The sequence below is a fragment of the Homo sapiens genome, chromosome 5, assembly GCF_000001405.40.
Source record: "Homo sapiens chromosome 5, GRCh38.p14 Primary Assembly".
NCBI lineage: Eukaryota > Metazoa > Chordata > Mammalia > Primates > Hominidae > Homo > Homo sapiens.
The window spans coordinates 21137458-21156536 of NC_000005.10; the positions used below are offsets into that span (position 1 = coordinate 21137458).

The following is a 19079-nucleotide window of genomic DNA, read 5'->3' on the forward strand; positions in this document are numbered from 1 at the left end:
CTAGCCTCTACTAATGCTGCTAATGTAATAAAAGACCATATAGACTGTTAACAGGAAATTGAATTTGAGTAAGATTTCCTGAGAAATTCTCACACTTAGCAGGGAGTGGTACTCTACAGGAGCTTTATAAAGAAATCCAGGTGGCTTCAAATGGATTGTCACTGTAGTACTTATGCAATCCGTTTTGGGCTCTGTTTACTGCTTACCTGAATCAGCAGCAGAGAATGTTATTAAAAGTATAGAATAAAGTATTTTGCATCAATTTGTTCTCCCCAGTTATATATTAACAGAACAAAGAATGCATTTCCTTCCTGCCAGCAATCCAAAATGTTCTAAAAAGAATTACATCAAGCAGATGCATGCTATCCTTTTTTTTTTTTTTTTTTGAGACGGAGTCTTGCACTGTTGCCCAGGCTGGAGTGCAGTGGTGCGGTCTTGGCTCACTGCAAGCTCCACCGCCTCCCAGGTTCACACCATTCTCCTGCCTCAGCCTCCCAAGTAGCTGGGACTACAGACGCCCACCACCACACCCGGCTAATTTTTTGTATTTTTAGTAGAGACAGGGTTTCACCGTGTTAGCCAGGATGGTCTCGATCTCCTGACCTCATGATCCACCCGCCTTGGCCTCCCAAAGTGCTGGGATTACAGGTGTGAGCCACCCCGCCCATCGGATGAATGCTATTCTTTATGGTCTAAAAGGCATTTCTTTGAGAATTGGGGTTAAAAAACAAATATCTGTTAATAGAAATAAAAACGTAATATGGGTGAGAAGTGTTGGTTAGTGTAAATGGGTGAATTTGTTCTTCATCTAAATGTGAGGGTGGAAAAGAGGATATCTTTGGAAAAATTGTGGGGATGTAGTGCTAGGAATGAAGGCGTGGAGGATGATGGAATCTTCCAGTTCCCTGTTTTTCCCAACAGGCACATTATTCCATTATATGGAAATAGAGTGGTCTAGGACTGCTCATTTTGTGCTTGGCAGAATAAGCACTGGTGTGCAGAGTACTTTCTCAGTGCCTATGAACTTTGTGAATTTTCTAAAGTAAAATGAGTCAGAGAGTAATCCCATCTTATTGGCTAAATCATGGTAAGTAGTGATTTTTAGTCACAGAAGCAGCCTTGTCTTCCTTTGTCTCCATATTGAGGATAGAAAATATAGCAAGAAACAGCAGTTCCAATCCTGCTACTCAAAAAAGAGGCTCTCATTTGGGTACTGATTCTGGCTTAAGATAGGTAATAAATGGGAAGAACATGGAGAAATTGTAGCAGTTGATGACCCATATTAATGAGAAATTTTGGTTGAGAAAATACCTTTTTTTTTTCTCTCTCATAATACAATCTTACGACAGGAGAATAATACACTTCACTGCTACTTTCAGATGTGATACCATGGCATAGCTGCTGCTGGGAAAGCTCACAGGTTTGATTTCCTATAAGAAGATTAATTTTATATAAATCAGTTTAAAAGGATTTTTCAAGGTACCTATATATGTGATTTAGTAAAAAGATGGCACCAAACATCATTTAATCACCATTGTAAATAATAGCTGTTTGATGTTGATTGAGTTATTTTTTGGTTATTATGCTTATTATATGCATTCTTTTACAGACTTGAAATTTCTACCTTTGAACCATGCAGGTCATTTTGTTACTGTCAGTGGTCAGCATATCTACTGCGTTGTTGTGAACCAGGATGACGTATTGTTAAGGCAATTATCCGTGTTGAAGAGAAACACGTCGCTGCTGCTTGCTTGATGTGGCTGCAACAACAAAGCTGTTTTGACTACTCTAGGTAAAAAATGGGGTTTGAACACTACAAAATCAGGCACCTACAGAATCACAGTAGGATCTGAGTAGGTGAATATTGTCATAAAATGCTGGCCAAATATCTCATTATTTACACCTAATATTCAAGAAAGACAGTCATGAGAAACTTTATGACATACTCAGACAGAACTGAATCTATTGGCAGAATATATTCCCAACTAATCATCTCTCATGGGATACAACATTGTGTTTTCAAAATACCTTAACTGCATTCACCTCTCGTCATTCAGTAACAACATTTGGGGTGGCTGAACCAACACCAGCTCCAAGGCCTTAGATGTCCTGGAATATTGTGTGTTACGTGAATGATAGATTATTGTTCTGGATATTTAGTAACATTATGAAAAGGTGTTATTAACCCAGCTAAGGACACCAGAATCACTTTCATGGGAAACTAGCAGAACATTGCAATTGGCCAAGTACCAAACTTAACTGTTTATAATTCTAAGATATGCAGAGAAAGAATACAAGAAAAATAATTAGCAACCCAGCCAGTGATTCCAAGTCTTTACTAAAGATTAGTAAAAGAACTTTGGTGGATGTACAATTTGACTTAAGTACTGAAAGGTGAGTAGAAATTAATCAGTAAAATGTGAGAAAAATTTAGGATATGCTTATCATAAAACTGTACAAATTTTTCAATGATACCCAAAATGTAAGACATGCTGAAATAATCTATTTCCATGGATCAAACTCATCCCAAATAAAGTACTGGAAAACCAAGATACATTAAAAAGTATTCTATCTTATGGTTTGCTGGAGTTCAACACATACAGCCCCAATATGAGGATACGCTTTAGCTTCTGAGGATGTATTTTGCCATCTTCTTTGTATACATCACCTGTATTTGCTCACCACCCCCATGGCGTTGTCCCAATGAGGGAAGGTACTTTTTTGAGTTAATAGGAGGTATAAACATACTTGTCATTGATTGATATTGATTTTAGAATTGGAATGAAATTATTCCCAATGATTATTCTATCATATTAAATATCTAATAATTGATCATGATGCAACGGCAGAGGCAAAGACAGGGACATAAAAGACTGGAGAAATTCACAGATAAAATCTTTAATAGAAGATTGGTAGGAAGACGGCCAGCTGTGGTGGCTCAGGCCTGTAATCCCAGCACTTTGGGAGGCCAAGGCAAGTGGATCACTTGATGCCAGGAGTTTGTGACCAACACAGAGAAACCCCGTCTCTACTAAAAATACAAAGCATTAGCTGAGAAAGGTGACACATGCTTCTAATCCCAGATATTTGGGAGGCTGAGGCATGAGAATCACTTGAACCCAGGAGGCAGAGGTTGCAGTGAGCCACGATTGCACCACTGCACTCCAGCCTGGGTGACAGAGCAAGACTTTGTCTCAAAAAAAAAAAAAAAAAAAAAGAAGAAGATTAGTTGAAAGAAATTAGAAGACACTCCCTAAAAATATAACATTGACAAAAAATATTTCTCTATATGTTTCTCTCTACATATGGGTTGATATGTTTTGGCTGTGTCCCCACCTAAATTTCATCATGAGTTGTAATCCTTATAATCCCCATGTGTTGTGGGAGGGATCCTGTAGGGAATTGAATCATGGGGGCCGTTTCCCCCATGCTGTTCTGATGATAGTGAGTGAGTTATCACGAGATTCAGATCTGATAGTTTTATTAGCATCTGGCATTTCCCCTGCTGGCATTCATTCTCTCTCCTGCCACCCTGTGAAGACTGATTGTAAGTTTCCTGAGGTCTCCGCAACTATATAGAACTGTGAGTCAATTAAACCTGTTTTCTTTAAAAATTACCCAGTTTGGGGTATTTCCTCATAGCTGCATGAGAATGACCTAATACATGTATATACGATATGTATATATGTATACGTACGTACGTATGTACGTATACATATATATACGTATATATACGTATATACTTATATGTATGTATATATACGTATATGTATGTATATATACGTATATATGTGTATATATGTCTATATACACATATATACGTATGTATGTATATGTATATACACACATATATACATATACGTATGTATATATACATATATACGCACACACCCATTATATATATATACAACATATATATTTATAATGATATATATGTTATATGTATTTTTATAAATATATAAAAATATATAAATATATTATATATAATTTATATATAATATATATTTTATTTATATATAATATATAAATTATATATCTAATATATAATATAATTATATATATTATATATTATATATATAATTATATTAATATATTAGATATATAATATATATTTATATGTAAATATGTATATATAATATATACATGTATAATATATAATATGTATATTTAGATATTAATATATAATATAATATATAAATATAAATATTATTTATAATATATAATATATAAATATATTATAAATATTATAAATATTATAATATTTATAATATATAAATATATGATAATATATTATAATATTTATAATATAAAATATATTTTATATTATAATATAATATAAAATATATTTTATATAATATAATATAATATAAAATATATAATATATATTATAATATATAATGTATATAATACAATATAATATAATATAATATATGATATATATTACAATATATAATGTATATTATAATATATAATATAATATATATAATATAATATAATATATAATACAATATATATAATATAATATATAATATAATATATAATATATAATATATAATATATATTATAATATATAATATTATATATTATAATATATAATATTATAATATATAATATTATATATTATAATATATATTATATATTATAATATATAATATATATTATAATACATATTATAATATATAATATGTATTATAATACGTATTATAATATATAATATAATCTATAATATATATTATAATATATAATATATAAATATATAAAAATATATAATATATATTTATATACAAATATATAAAAATATATAATATATTTATACACAAATATATATAATTTACATATATAAATATATATTTATAATGAGTATATATTATATATATTATATATATTTTATATTTTATATATATTATATATAATACATATTTATAATGGGTATATGTATTTTATATATAATATATATACGTGTGTATGTTTACCTATATATAAATATGTGAGTATGTATGCATGTGTATATTTATTTATATATAATCAAATAATAAAATATTCATACCAGAATGTAGAACGTTCAAAGAAATAAGAGATAGTATACCCTTTTCTATCTTTTTTTCTCTCTTCTTTGTTTGGATTTTAAGAAATTTCTGAAAGCACGTATTGTATTTTATCAGCATGTATGTGTATATGTGTGTGCATGTATGTCTGTTTGTGTGTGCATGTTAACTAATGGGGCACAACAAAACACACCCCAAACTTGTCATTTTAAATAACACATATTTGTTACATTTCTTACCTCACAGTTTTTGTGGGTCAAGAATCTGGGCAATAGAGAGAGTCCAATAGCAAGATGATAAATACCTAATCACAGAAGTGACATTTTAAAAATACTTATTTTACTTTACTTTTGTGGTAGCTGGGAGCCACCATCTGAGTGGGAGGCCTGGTCTCCCCTGGAGGGTGGGTGGGATGTTGGAGGGAGGCCTCGAAGGGTCGCCCCCACGTGTGTCAGATTCACTGAGTGGCATCTCAGGATAACGCCTAGGCTGGGAAGCCACTGTGGAGTTTCTGTGGTAGGTAGTGGGTGGGTCAGAGATGGAGGCCTCCTCTTCGGGTCGCTGCAGTGTGGCAGCATCATTTAATGGGGACAGGTCTTGGATGGGTTTTTAAGGGTGATTAAATGCTAAGTCCCCACGTGCAAGACGAGACAGAGCTCGACATGCTACAAGGCATGAGAACATCAATGTGCACAGCAGGAATTGTTTGGGACGGGCCTTGTAGGGGGAATATTTGCGGTCGGGGAGGCATGAAAGGGGCCTCAGTCGGTAGCCTCTTGCAATGGCAGGATCGTCCTGTGGGATCTCTGGTCCTTGGGAGCCCTGAGGTTGCCCCTACCTGCTGTGGGTGCTTTCCTGGTGACGCCTTCCTAGCCCAAGAGGGAAGGAAGTGAATCCTTCCTTTCTCCCCACTCACCCCACGTGCACAGGCTGCAAGCCTCCTATACTGATTTTGGTAGCAAGTTATTCAAAGAAAGAGATGTATGCAAGGTCATTAATATGGTTAGGCTTTGTGTCTCCACTAAATCTCATCTTGAATTGTAATCCCCATAATCTCCATAATACCCATAATCCTCATGTGTCAAGGGAAAGACCAGGTAGAGGTAATTGAATCGTGGAGAGGTTCCCCTATGCTGGTCTCCTGATAGTGAGTTCTCAGGAGATCTGATGGTTTTATAAGGGGCCCTTCCCCCTTCGCTGGGCACTTCTCCTTGATTCCCCTTCACCCTCTGCCATGATTGTAAGTTTCCTGAGGCCTTCCCAGCCATAGAGTGGTGATTCAATTAAATCTGTTTTCTTTATAAATTACCCAGTCTTTAGAGCAGTATAAAAACAGATTAAAACAGTCACGAAGGCTAGGGACAGGGATCACTCTTAGAGGCTGCGTAGTATGGATGGTGTATACATGTGTTGAGGTCATCTCTTGTTTGACAGACTGTCCTTACAGCCTTGGTTTGATTTTCCTGTCTGTTTGGTTGTATATCTTTACCTTTTAATTGACATTTTATTTTATTTTGTTTTGTTTTACAAATGTTTTCTGCTCTTTGGCTGCACACTAATCGAAGAACTCTGTGTGCATAACATGGCTTGAAGAGCAGAGAGTTTTATTGGGTATTTGATTAGGCTGTGTCACTAGGGTATTGCAAATTCTCAAGTTTTCTTCCTTCCTTTCCTTTTTTTTCATCTTTTATTCTTTTCTTTCTTCCTTTATCCCACAGGTTGGGCTTTCTACAAAGGAAGTTTTTAATATTCTGATTGAAAGGACTGTATAATCCTCAATGATTTTTTCAAAGCCTGCTGAGGGAATAGAACTGAGATTAGGGTAGCTCTCACCATTCGGTTGATAGACTTCTCTGACTATGCCTATTTGTGTAAGGTACCCCACTCACATCTGTGCAAAGTTTTCCCATTTTCATATTTCTCATGTTTTACTGACTGCAAGGAACAGGCTCTAATATTTTCTCTTGCTTTGGAGGGATAATTTTCTTTCTGTCAATATTGATAGAAAATTTTGTCTGCCTGTTAAGCAGACTTCCAAATAATACTTGTCTGCTTCACTTTTCCATCAACTCTGTGATGACTGCTTCTTTTAATTTGTGCATCATTTTGGAATTAATTTACACAAATCAGGATTCTTCCATGATTATTCCAGGAAGGCTTACCTTTTATGAATTTTCTACTACCTTTTGCCTATTCCCTTTCCAGATTTACTGATTTTGTTCCTGTTTTCCTATGGGTTTTTGTAATTCTTTGTTTATGTTTTCTTATTTTATAAGTTTATTATTATTTGACTGAGTCTTGGAGGAGGATGGAGGTAAACACATATGTTCAATGCAACTGTTTTTTCTAGATGCCATTACTGGTTTTATTATATTCAGCTTCAAATTACTTTGTGCATCTCTACAAAATTAATGTTCCATTGCTTTATTCATGTCTTGCTTAATAAATTTTAAAGCACCACTAGTATCTACAGGACAAGATTCAAATGTCTTTCTTCTGGAACCACTTTCTGCCACAGTATTTGTTCATATTTTGCCAAGCCTGGCATTGAATATTCACTTCCATACGTTGGTTAATGCCATAGTCCCACCCCAAATTACCCTTTACCTTTTCTCTGCCATGGTCTGGACAAATGTGCCATTCCAATTTACAGTTGTCTCTGGAGGTGTTAATTTATTTGTTCAATGCCAAATAACTAGTAAGTCTCAGAGCCAAAGTTTGTGCCTAGAACTGTTATTTACAGTAGGTAGCTAGTCAGGCATGAGCAGCACAGAAGAGGGCTCCTCCCCCCGCTCAACACACACACTAGGAATGTCAGGTGACCATCAGGTGAGGGCCAGGTGGTTGTTAACTGTCTCTTTAAAATACTAGTTAATCATAGATGGCCTGTCTCCTAATAGATAGAACTGAAACTGGTGATTAGCAGCTTCCCAATAAGATCTCAGGAACTGGGCAAATGGGCTCAAGCATGTGCATTAAGAGGCAAAATTGTGTAGTTTAACCGGTATCTGACCTTCCTCTAGGAATGCTAGACTGGTAAGGGAAGAATGCCTCAAGTGAGCACGTGTACAACTCCAGTAAACACACTGTGCATGCTCCCCTCCCAAGTGCTACCAGGCCACTGTGCATGAGGACAGCCTACCCCAAGGGAAGAATCAGGGGAGAAAGGATGCAAGACATGGGAAGTGAGCCAATATATAAAACCCCAAGTCAAATGTGAAACTAAGCACTTGATCTCTCAAGTCACCGCTTGGCCCTCTTCCAAGTGTACTTTACTTTCTTTCATTCCTGCTCTAAAACTTGCCTCAGTCTCTCCTTCTGCCTCATGCCTCCTTGGTCAAATTCTTTCTCCTGAGTAGGCAAGAATTGAGGTTTTTGCAGACCCATATGGATGCTCTGCCAGTAACAGAACCACTGCTTTTAGAACACTCATTCTTTGCATTCTAACAAGATGCTCTGTAACTAATTTTCAAGTACGAAACCACCTAGATTGCACCTTTATGATATTAATACAGTGTTATAAAAAATAAGACGTAAACATGAGTTTTACAAAAATAAAAATTTTCTGAAGTTCACATTTGTAAGCAGAAATTGCATATATGGTGGTGGGGTAGAGATTAGCATGAGAGAAAATTCTTTAGGAATAAAAAACCTGATTATTCCTGCCATTGATGATTATTCATGTCCCACTTTGTTTTAGACATTTCATTCTGAGCAAAACCCAGTTAGCAGATTTGTTATATAACTGCCTGCCTGTCTGTGCATAAATTGTATTAATTGAAAATAATAACATCAGTTTTATCTAACATTTTGGGATACGAGTATATCTCCAAATTTTTTTGATTCTTTTTTATTTTTAATTTTTATGTGTACATATATGTAATTTTATGTGTAAGTATATATATTTACGGGGTATATGAGATGTTTTGATACAGGCATGTTAGGTCAAATAAGTACGTCATGAAGAATGGGGTATCCATCCCCTCAAGCATTTGCCTTTGGATTACAAAGAATCCAATTACACTCTTTAAGTTATTTTAAAATTGACTATAGTCATCTTATTATGTTATCTAATAGGGGTCTTATTCATTCTTTCTATTTCTTTTTGTACCCATTAACCATCACCACCTCCCCTCAGCCCCGCACTACCCTTCCCAGCCTCTAGTAACCATCCTTCTACTCTCTATGTTCATGAGTTCAATTGTTTTGACTTTTAGATCCCACAAGTAAGTGAGAACATGCAATGTTTGTCTTTCTGTGCCTGGATTACTTCACTTAAAGTAATGACGTCCAATTCCATGCATGTTGTTGCAAATGACTGGATCCTTTTGATTTTTGTGGCTGGATAGTACTCCATGGTGTATATATACCACATTTTCTTTATCCAGTAATCTGTTGATGGTCACATAGGTCGCTTCCAAATCTTAGTTATTGCAAACAGTGCTGCAACAAACATAGGAGCAGAGATATTTTTTCATGTACTGATTTCCTTTCTTCTGGGTATATACCCTACAGTTAGATTGTTGGATCATACAGTGACTCAGTTTTTAGTTTTTTGAGTAATCTCCAAACTGTTGTCCATAGTGGTTGTGCTAATTTACATTCTCACCAATAGTGTATGAGGAATCCCTTTTCTCAACATCCTCAACAGCATTTGTTATTGCCTGTCTTTGGATATAAGTCATTTTAACTGGGGGTAAAATGATATCTTATTGAAGTTTTTTGATTTTCATTTCTCTGACATTCAATGATATTAACCATCTTTTCATATGTCCGTTTGCCATTAGTATGTCTTATTTTGAGAAATGTCTATTCATATCTTTTGCCCATTTTTTATTCAAATTATTAGATTTTTTTTTCTCTATAGAGTTGTTTGAGCTCCTTACATATTCTGGTTAGTAATCCCTTGTCAGAGGGGTAGTTTGCAAATAATTTTCTCCCATTCTGTGGGTTGTCTCTTCACTCTGTTGATTGCATCCTTTGCTCTGCAGATGCTTTTTAACTTGATGTGAACCAATCTGTCCACACTGGTTTTGGTTACCTGTGCTTGTATGGTATTTTTCAAGAAATCTTTGCCAAGACAAATGTCCAGAAGACTTTCCCCAATGTTTTCTTATAGAAGTTTCATAGTTTTGGGTCTTGGATTTAAGTCTTTAATCCATTTTGATTTGATTTTTGTATGTGACTAGATACAGGGGTCTGGTTTCATTCTTCTGCATATGAATATCCAGTTTTCCCAGCACCATTTATTAAAGAGACAGTCTTTCCCCCAGTGTATATTCTTGGCATCTTGTGGTGTCTGAATTTTTTTCTGAGTTCTCTGTTCTTTTCCATTTGTCCACATGTCTATTTTTATGCCAGTACCATGATGTTTTGATTACTATATCTCTGTAGTCTAATTTGAAGTCAGGTTATGTGATTTCTCTTTTGTTTTTTTTTTCTTAGGAGAGCTTTAGCTATTCTGGGTCTTTTGTTTATAATTAGAGAATTGTTTTCTCTATTTCTATAAAGAATTTCACTGGTATATTGATAGCAATTGAATTGACTCTGTAGATTGCTTTGTGTAGTACGGACTTTTAACAATACTGAATCTTCTGATCAATGAACAGGGAATATTTTTCCATTTTTGGTATCCTCTTCAATTTTTTTCTTCATTGTTTTATAGTTTTTATTATAGAGATCTTTTACTTCTTTGGTTAATTCCTAGGTATTTAATTTTATGCATTGCTATTGTAAATGGGATTACTTTGTTATTTCCTTTTCACATTGTTCACTGTTGGCATAATGTTACTCATTTTTGTATCCTGAAACTTTACTGGACTTGTTAATCAGTTATCATAGTTTTCTTGTGGCGTCTTTAGGTTTTTTCAAGTATAAGACTATATATCGCCTGTAAACTATAATAATTTGTCTTCTTCCTTTCCAATTTTGATGCCCTTTATATCTTTATCTTGTCTGATGCTCTAGCTTGGAATTCTAGGACTATGTTGAATAACAGTGTTGAAAGTGGGCATCCTTGTCATGTTCCAGATCTTAGAGGAAAGGCTTTCAGTTCTTCTTCATTCAGTTTGATACTAGCCGTGGGTCTGAATATGTGGCTCTTTTACATTGAGGAATATTCCTTCTATCCCAGTTTTGAGACTTTTTATTGTGAAGCGATGTTGAACTTTATCAAATGCTTTTTCAGCATCGATTGAAATGGTCATATGGTTTCTATCCTTCATTCTATTGATATGATGTATTGAACTGATTGATTTGCATGTATTGAACCATCCTTGCATCCCAGGGATAAATCCCACTTGGTCATAATGAAAGATCTTTCTAACATATTGTTGAATTTGGTTTGCTAGTATTTTATTGGAGATTATTGATTCAATATCCATCAGAGATATTAGCCTGTAGTTTTCTTTCTTTGTGATGTCTTTGGTTTAGGTATCAGTGTAATACTGGCCTTGCATAATGACTTTTTAAATATTTCCTCCTCCTCTGTTTTTTGGAATAGTTTGAGGAGGATTGGTATTAGTTCTTTAAGTGTTTGGTAGAATTCAGCAGTGAAGCCATCAAGTCCTGGTCTTTTCTTTATTGGGAGACTTTATTATGGCTTTGATCTCATTACATTTTATTGGTCTGTTCAGTTTTTTTATTTCTTTCTGGTTCAATCTTGGTAGGTGGTATTTATCTAGGTATTCATTTATTCTAGATTGTTCAATTTATTGGCATATAGTTGCTAATAGTAGCCACCAATGATTCTTTGAATTTCTGCAGTATCAGTTATAAAGTCTCCTTTTTAATCTCTGGATTTATTTGGAAGTTGTGTATCCATTAAATATATAGATTTATATGTAGCAGTGTGGGAGGGGTGTGTTTGGATAGATAGATAGATGTATCTCTCTATATATACACACCAATGATAATCATAATCATGGCATTTTTACAGGTTAATTTATCAAAATAAGTTTCTGTAAATTCTCAAATAATTGATGATGATTAGCTCTTATTTATTATTTAATATGTACCAAAAATTTAAACTATTTTTATCATTTTTCCCCACTAAACAATAACTGGGGGTACATTTTATTTTTCCATTTAATAACTAACAAAAATATTTAACTAGTCACATTAACCACATTTTTTTTTCCCTATGTTGCAATGCTATTAAGTGGTAGAGGCAGAATTTTGCTTCTCACAATCTGAAGTTAAAAGCAGCATTTCTTTAATTACAGAGTGTGAGAGATTAGTTGAAGGGTAAAAAGTTTCATTCAGTTAGATAGGAGAAATAAGTACTGGAGATACATTGTACAGTATAGTGATCATAATTGGTAATGTATAATATACTTAAAATTGCTCAGAGTAGATTTGAAATGTTCTCATTAAAAAATGATAAATATGTGAGGTCATGAATATGATTATTAGTTTGATTTAATCATCCCACTATGTTTATGTTCCTATGTTTGTATGCATATAAATCAAAACATCACATTGTATACCAAAGATACGTAATCTGTAATTTATCAATTAAAAATAATTATTTTTTAAAAAATATAATTCCCAATTACTATGCTACATTCGTGAAATTAGAAATAGTGGTCCATCTACTGCCTCTAGAATTAGCTTACCCTGTGAAGGACAATGTCTAGGTTTTAGTGTCCTTTTAACGAAAATGACACTTAATTGGTGAATTATATACCCTTCTCTCAACAACACCTTAAAAATCCTCTAATATTACATGTAGAAATTGGTAACCTCACAGACAAAAAGAAAAAATTAGTATAGCCATGGAGAATTAGACTAGAGAAAGTGTGTTTATCTTACATTAAAGGTAAGTACTAAAACTTAGACTACTATTAATCTTTATATCTAGGTGTGCATTTCCAGTCAATTTTATATTGGATTTTATAACCATTTTGATTTTGTGTATCAGTTAACTAATTAGTATAAACATTACATAAACTGTATGATCGATTAGGAAATTGTAGTGTCTAGATATAATGTCATTCACAAAAGATAAACTGATGGCTGGCTATTATGATTCTTACTTTACCAAGTAACAAATTTAGCATTATGAAATCTGTAGTTAGTTTACTTCTGCAATGAACATAACATTAAAATTGTTGTAATAATATGTTTCTCCAATTTTTTATATAATGCATAAAGGACAAAAGATCAAGCCACTTCTATATCTTGCCTGTTAATCAGAAAATATCTTGGATTTATAGCTATGTACTAATCACAAAGTCTTTCTTAGAAAAGTATTAAAAGTGATTTTATACTATATAATATTATTTATTAAATCCTATGTGATGTTCTCCTCACAACTAGTGTCTTCATAGTTTAATTTTTTTCTCTATTTTTTTAAAAGTCAGAATTGTCAAGGGTTATGTCATATTAGTATCAAGATAGTTGACCATAATTTTAGATATTAGGCTGAGACATATCAGGACAGCTAACATTTCAATGTAAGTCAATGAAATATATAGATGGTTATATAATTAGGAATTAAGGAAAGAAGCATGAGAAAGGCTGCATAAAGGAAACTTCTCTCGGATAATCCTTATAAGCATGGAAAATATACTTTTTCACAAAACTTAAGACACAATGCAAAATGATGCTATTCCATTTTTAAATGAATGTTCACTTTTATAAAGTCTTACATAAGTAATTGTAGATAATGGCTCAGGCAACATTTTAGTACCATTGCCTGCATGTTTTGAAATTTTGATGTCCTTCTTTATGAGGGATGGATGTGGCAATGCTACCAAGACTTTTTAATACAATGTACTAAAATTTTTAATATATAGGATATAATACTTGGAACTATGAACTTATGAGTAACATTAAAAGGGAAAACTGTTAAAAAAATGAATAATTTGATTACAAGTTATTTTTTAAGAAACAGAATCATCAATAAAATTTTGAAATAGAAAATGGACCCAAACAGCACAGTTAGTTTAGAGATTTAAAGAACATCTTTCAGATATTATTAGCTGTCTCTTGAAAGATATCTGCTTGCAACGCAACCAAAGTCTTACAAATGTGTACAGTTTAACATACCTACTTGGGGGAGAAACATATCTCAATATTTTCAGATAGAAAAAAATCTATTTTGTTATCATGAAACTTCAGAACATATTTCAGAAGAACCCAACATAATACATGCCAATTTTAACATTTCTTTAATTAAGAAAATATTTTATAAATAAACATTTCTAGTGTTTAACTTCAAATGCTATTTTTATAATCCTCAACAGAAAGGATATTAGAACACAGTTTTAAATATATCACTACTACAAATGTTCTGTCACTGAAAAATACTTGTAACAGAACATTTATTTAGGAACATTTTGCAGAGTAATTTTTATTTATTTTACTATGTTTTTGAGACGGAGTCTCACTCTGTCACCCAGGCTGGAGTGCAGTGGCGCCATCTCAGCTCACCACAACCTTTGCCTGATGGGTTCAAGCGATTCTCATGCCTCAGCCTCCCAAGTAGCTGGGACTACAGGCGTGTGCCACCATGCCTGGCTAATTTTCGTATTTTTTTTGGTAGAGACGGGGTTTCATCATGTTGGCCAGGATGGTCTTGAACTCCTGACCTCAAGTGCTCTGCCAGTCTCAGCCTGCCAAAGGCTTTTGCAAAGTAATCTATATGTCTCCCCTTTTCTTTTTATTATTACCTTTTTTTTATTTTGCTTTGGTTTACTTATTAGCCAGAATATTTTGTTTGATAATTAACATTACATTCTTTTGAGAAAATCAAATAAGAGCAAACAATACAAATCTACTCTCAGAAACAGTGACATCCTCTACTATGTGGTCTGTGTAAAATAATTTATATTTCACTACATTTCTTTTGTATGCTGAAAAATCACCTTTTAATAATGAATAGGACAGAGCCATATCATCTCTCTCAATTGAGAAATTTAATGTACTTGTTAGGTGACATGCAGATAAAGCTAAAATGCAAACCCTATACTTACTTCTTTAATATTTATATGTTTATTTTGAACCAAGAAAATATTTCCATATCATTACACATCGGAATTATTGAAAGAGGCACTTTTTATAGAAATTAACTTTTAAAATTAAATCCTCTTTCCTACTCCAAATTGTTCCACTTAATGCCAGAAATATCTTACATAAAATATCCACTGGTCTACTCACATGACAGCAACTTTTATTGCAAAAGGATATGCCAGAGTTTGATTCATTATTATGTCACAGTTATGACTCATCTCTTAGGGTAACACAATTGTCATGTTAGCTGTGTGGTTTTCAATTTACTCTTGACTTAAGCAGGAAATAAAAGAATGTCCAGCTGAGAGATTGCCAGGGGTGTTGAAATGAGTCATATGCATTAGCAGGCATTATTTACTCATAAATCCCATATTTATTGGGAGCATTTTGCAATTCCAGAAGGTGATCATAAAGTTATCTTGGCTATGTGTTGGATCAGTAGCAAACAGGAATTGCTATTATGAAATCATTACACTGAAGTGTGTCTGATGCCTGAAATAGATCCTCATATTCAAAAGAATATCAACGACTAAGGCACTTACCAAACTACTTGATACAAATATGGAAAATGGCTAACTACTCTGTCAAAAATTTATATTGATTTTATAGGTACATTTCACATGAATACTTGATTCTTTTAGCTGCTTCAGAATAGCTTGAGCTAATTCTACATCAATCTCATATCATCAGTGTAGCATCCTGTGTTATTCCAGTGACACTTGGTAAGAACCAGTGTATCTCCTCTAGAGCCATCTGCTATTAATTTTGAAGCTAAGCCTCCCAGAATTTCACTCATCTGGAACCTAGGGGCAACACACACACACACACACACACACACACACACACACACACACAGACAAACACACACTCTTTTCCAAATATTGGAGTGTTAAAGTATTAAACTAGTCATCTATAAAGTAGAGTGTTTCCTGTGCAGCAAGTAGAAGTGTAATTAATTATACATGTACTGTATTTTGAAGTCCATTTGGAAGTACATGAGTTGACTGATTTGTCAAGGGTCTTAAACACAATCATTAATCTAATCATTTATCTCCTGGAAATCTGTTTGAGTGAGACATTATTAAAAATGTTTGGTATAAGAAAATGTATTGCAGTGCTACTAATAGAAAACATAAATCCAAAATATAGTAATGGTAACAATAATAACAAATTATTAATATTTATTGAGCTCTATATGACTGACCCACGTCTATGCCTTGCTCTGTATTATTTAATCTTGTCAACAACCTAATAAGTTAGGTTCAAGTATTATATGCATTTTGAAAATGAAGAAACTGCATGTTTGCTTGAGCACAAACAATCTGACTTTTTAAATATTCATGAATTAGAGAATACTAATGCTATTTAAACTATACGGCAAAAGTTGTTACTAATAATCTTTATTATAAAACAACTGAGTGTCTATATATATGCATATTTTGCATGAATCTTACTTTATAGCTAAAATGTAATCAACCATTTTCTGTCCCCAATTCCATTAAACAATATGCGAGATGAATATATTCTCATTCTTGAGATTTTCCACCATCTCTAGGCAGGGCTGAATCTTTGGATGGGTGACTAGTACAGTTCCACAGCGCCCAACTCTTAGAAGGGCCAGCACTTAAGAGTTTAATGATCTTCATTGCAAGCTTTTAATTCTTTTTTTTTTTTTTCTGAAACAGAGTCTTGCTCTGTTTCCACGCGGGAGTGCAATGGCATGATCTCGGTTTATTTTAACCTCTGCCTCCCAGCTTCAAGTGATTCCCCTGCCTCAGCCTCCCAAGTAGCTGAGACTACAGGCACACACCACCACACCCGGCTAATTTTTTGTATTTTAGTAGAGACAGAGTTTCACCATGTTGGCCAGGATGGCCTCAATCTCCTGACCTCGTGATCTGCCCGCCTTGGCCTCCCAAAGTGCTGGGATTACAGGCGTGAGCCACCAAGCCTGGCCTAATTCTTAATGATATCTCTGAATTTGTATTTTTAAGTAAATTCTGATGGGATAATGCGTCATGTGTCCAGGACTTGAAGCTGCTATTCCCTCATGATCCTGACACCTGGAATTTGCACCTCACAGGACCCCAGCCTTGCTGCTCTGCCCATTGACCTCTGCCACCCTCCATACCGGGTGTGAGTTACCACCAGAAGAAGTCTGTGGCAGCAGCAGTCTTTGCCTTATTCTGACAGTGCCAAAGTGTGTTTGGTGGGTGACTCAGCTGAGTTGAGCCTCTTGCCAACTCCCAACACAGGTGCAGAGTGCATCTGAGCATGGAGGTTCTTGACTCTTATGACATGAAAAGTGCAATGTGAACATAAAATTGTGAATGATGTGACTATTCCAAAAACACAAACAGACACTGGCAAGGATCTGTTTTGCCAACAAAGCTACACAACTGCAGCAGAAAAGCTCCATGGAGGAAAAACTACAGTGCAAATAAAGGTTTCCAGCCGTCAATGATGCTAGCAAAGTGGAGGAAGGGTCACAGTAGGTCCCTCAGAAAGCTTCCCCAGCCACTTTCATGAAATTAACACCCTTGACCATTTTCTCTTCCAAAAAGTAAGGATTTTCTCTTTAATGTCTCATGCCTCTTCCAGCTTTATTACTCTGTGATTATGTGTTCATTTTTAAGGCATAATAAATGTGAAAAAAATGAGATTGATTTGAGTTTACTTTTTCTAAAAGTTCATTCTAGATGCAATAAATGAAGTTAGACAGTAAAACTCAGTAAAAATGCTTTATAATATATGTATATATGCTCTTTAAGAAAAATTGCTTAACATTTTTACCTCTTAATTTGCTTTCGTGATTCCATGCATTTTGTTGTACTTATCATGGCAAAATTTATTTGTGAAGTATATATCAGAAAGCCTTGCTCTATGATCAACAAACTTTGGTTAACTTTTAACTTTCAACATAACATTAGATATTCACCTCTCCATTTGTTCAGAGTTAAATTGTCATTACTCATTTGCTTTTTTATCTAAATTAAGATTTTCTTTAAGTCAACACAATAAACGCCATATATGCCAAGCCCACAGCTAACATCATATTCAACCATGAAAAGCTGAAACATTATCCTCTAAGATCAGGAAGAAGACAAATATGCCCACTTTCCCTTTTTCTGTCAACACTGAAAGGGAAGTCTAACCCCGAGAAATTAGGTAAGAGAAAAAAACTACAGGCATCTAAACTGGAATAGTAGTTAAACTGTCCTTGCTTGCAGACACATGATCTTACATATAGAAAACTCTAGGCCGGGCGCAGTGGCTCACGCCTGTAATCCCTGCACTTTGGGAGGCCAAGGTGGGCAGATCATGAGGTCAGGAGATCGAGACCATCCTGGCTAACACGGTGAAACCCTGTCTCTACTAAAAATACAAAAAATTAGCTAGGCGTGGTGGCGGGCACCTGTAGTCCCAGCTACTTGGGAGGCTGAGGCAGGAGAATGGCATGAACCTGGGAGGCGGAGCTTGCAGTGAGCCAAGATTGCACCACTGCACTCCAGCCTGGGCAACAGAGAGAGACTCCATCTCAAAAAAAAAAAAAAAAAAAAAAAAAGAAAACTCTAAAGACTCCACCAAAAAAACTGTTAGAACTAATAAGCAAATACAGTAAAGTTGCAGAATAAAAAATAAACAAAAATCACCTGTGTTTCTATGCACTACAAAGAATCTGAAAAGGAAATAATTAAACAATCTCATTTATAACCACATCAAGAAAAATAAAGTACTTAAGGAAAAAAATTCAACAAAGATGGTAAAAAAAAAAAAAAAAAAAAAAAACTTGCACACTGAAAACTACCCAAAACAATCTATGTATTCAATCCATAGCTATCAAAGTTCCAATGACAGTTTTTTACAGAACTAGAAAAAACAATCCTAAAATTTGTATGAAGCCACAAAAAACTCTGACTAGCCAAAGCAATGTTGAGCAAAAAGAACAAAGGTGATTGCACCACATTGCTTAATTTCAAATCTAAAACAAAGCCATAGTAATCAGATCAGTATGGTACT

The 19079-nt window shown here is 34.1% G+C and overlaps 1 long non-coding RNA gene across 1 annotated transcript in view; it reads right to left on the reverse strand.

The window, feature by feature from the left end:
• Positions 1-634: 634 nt before the first annotated feature.
• Positions 635-19079, reverse strand: part of LOC102723561 (uncharacterized) — a 38265-nt gene continuing 19820 nt past the window's right edge. The window contains exons 3-4 of the long non-coding RNA XR_001742404.1: positions 1625-1760; positions 635-1430 (exon numbers count right to left, since the gene is read on the reverse strand). This is a non-coding gene — a long non-coding RNA (uncharacterized LOC102723561). The remainder of the gene's footprint in view (positions 1431-1624; positions 1761-19079) is intronic.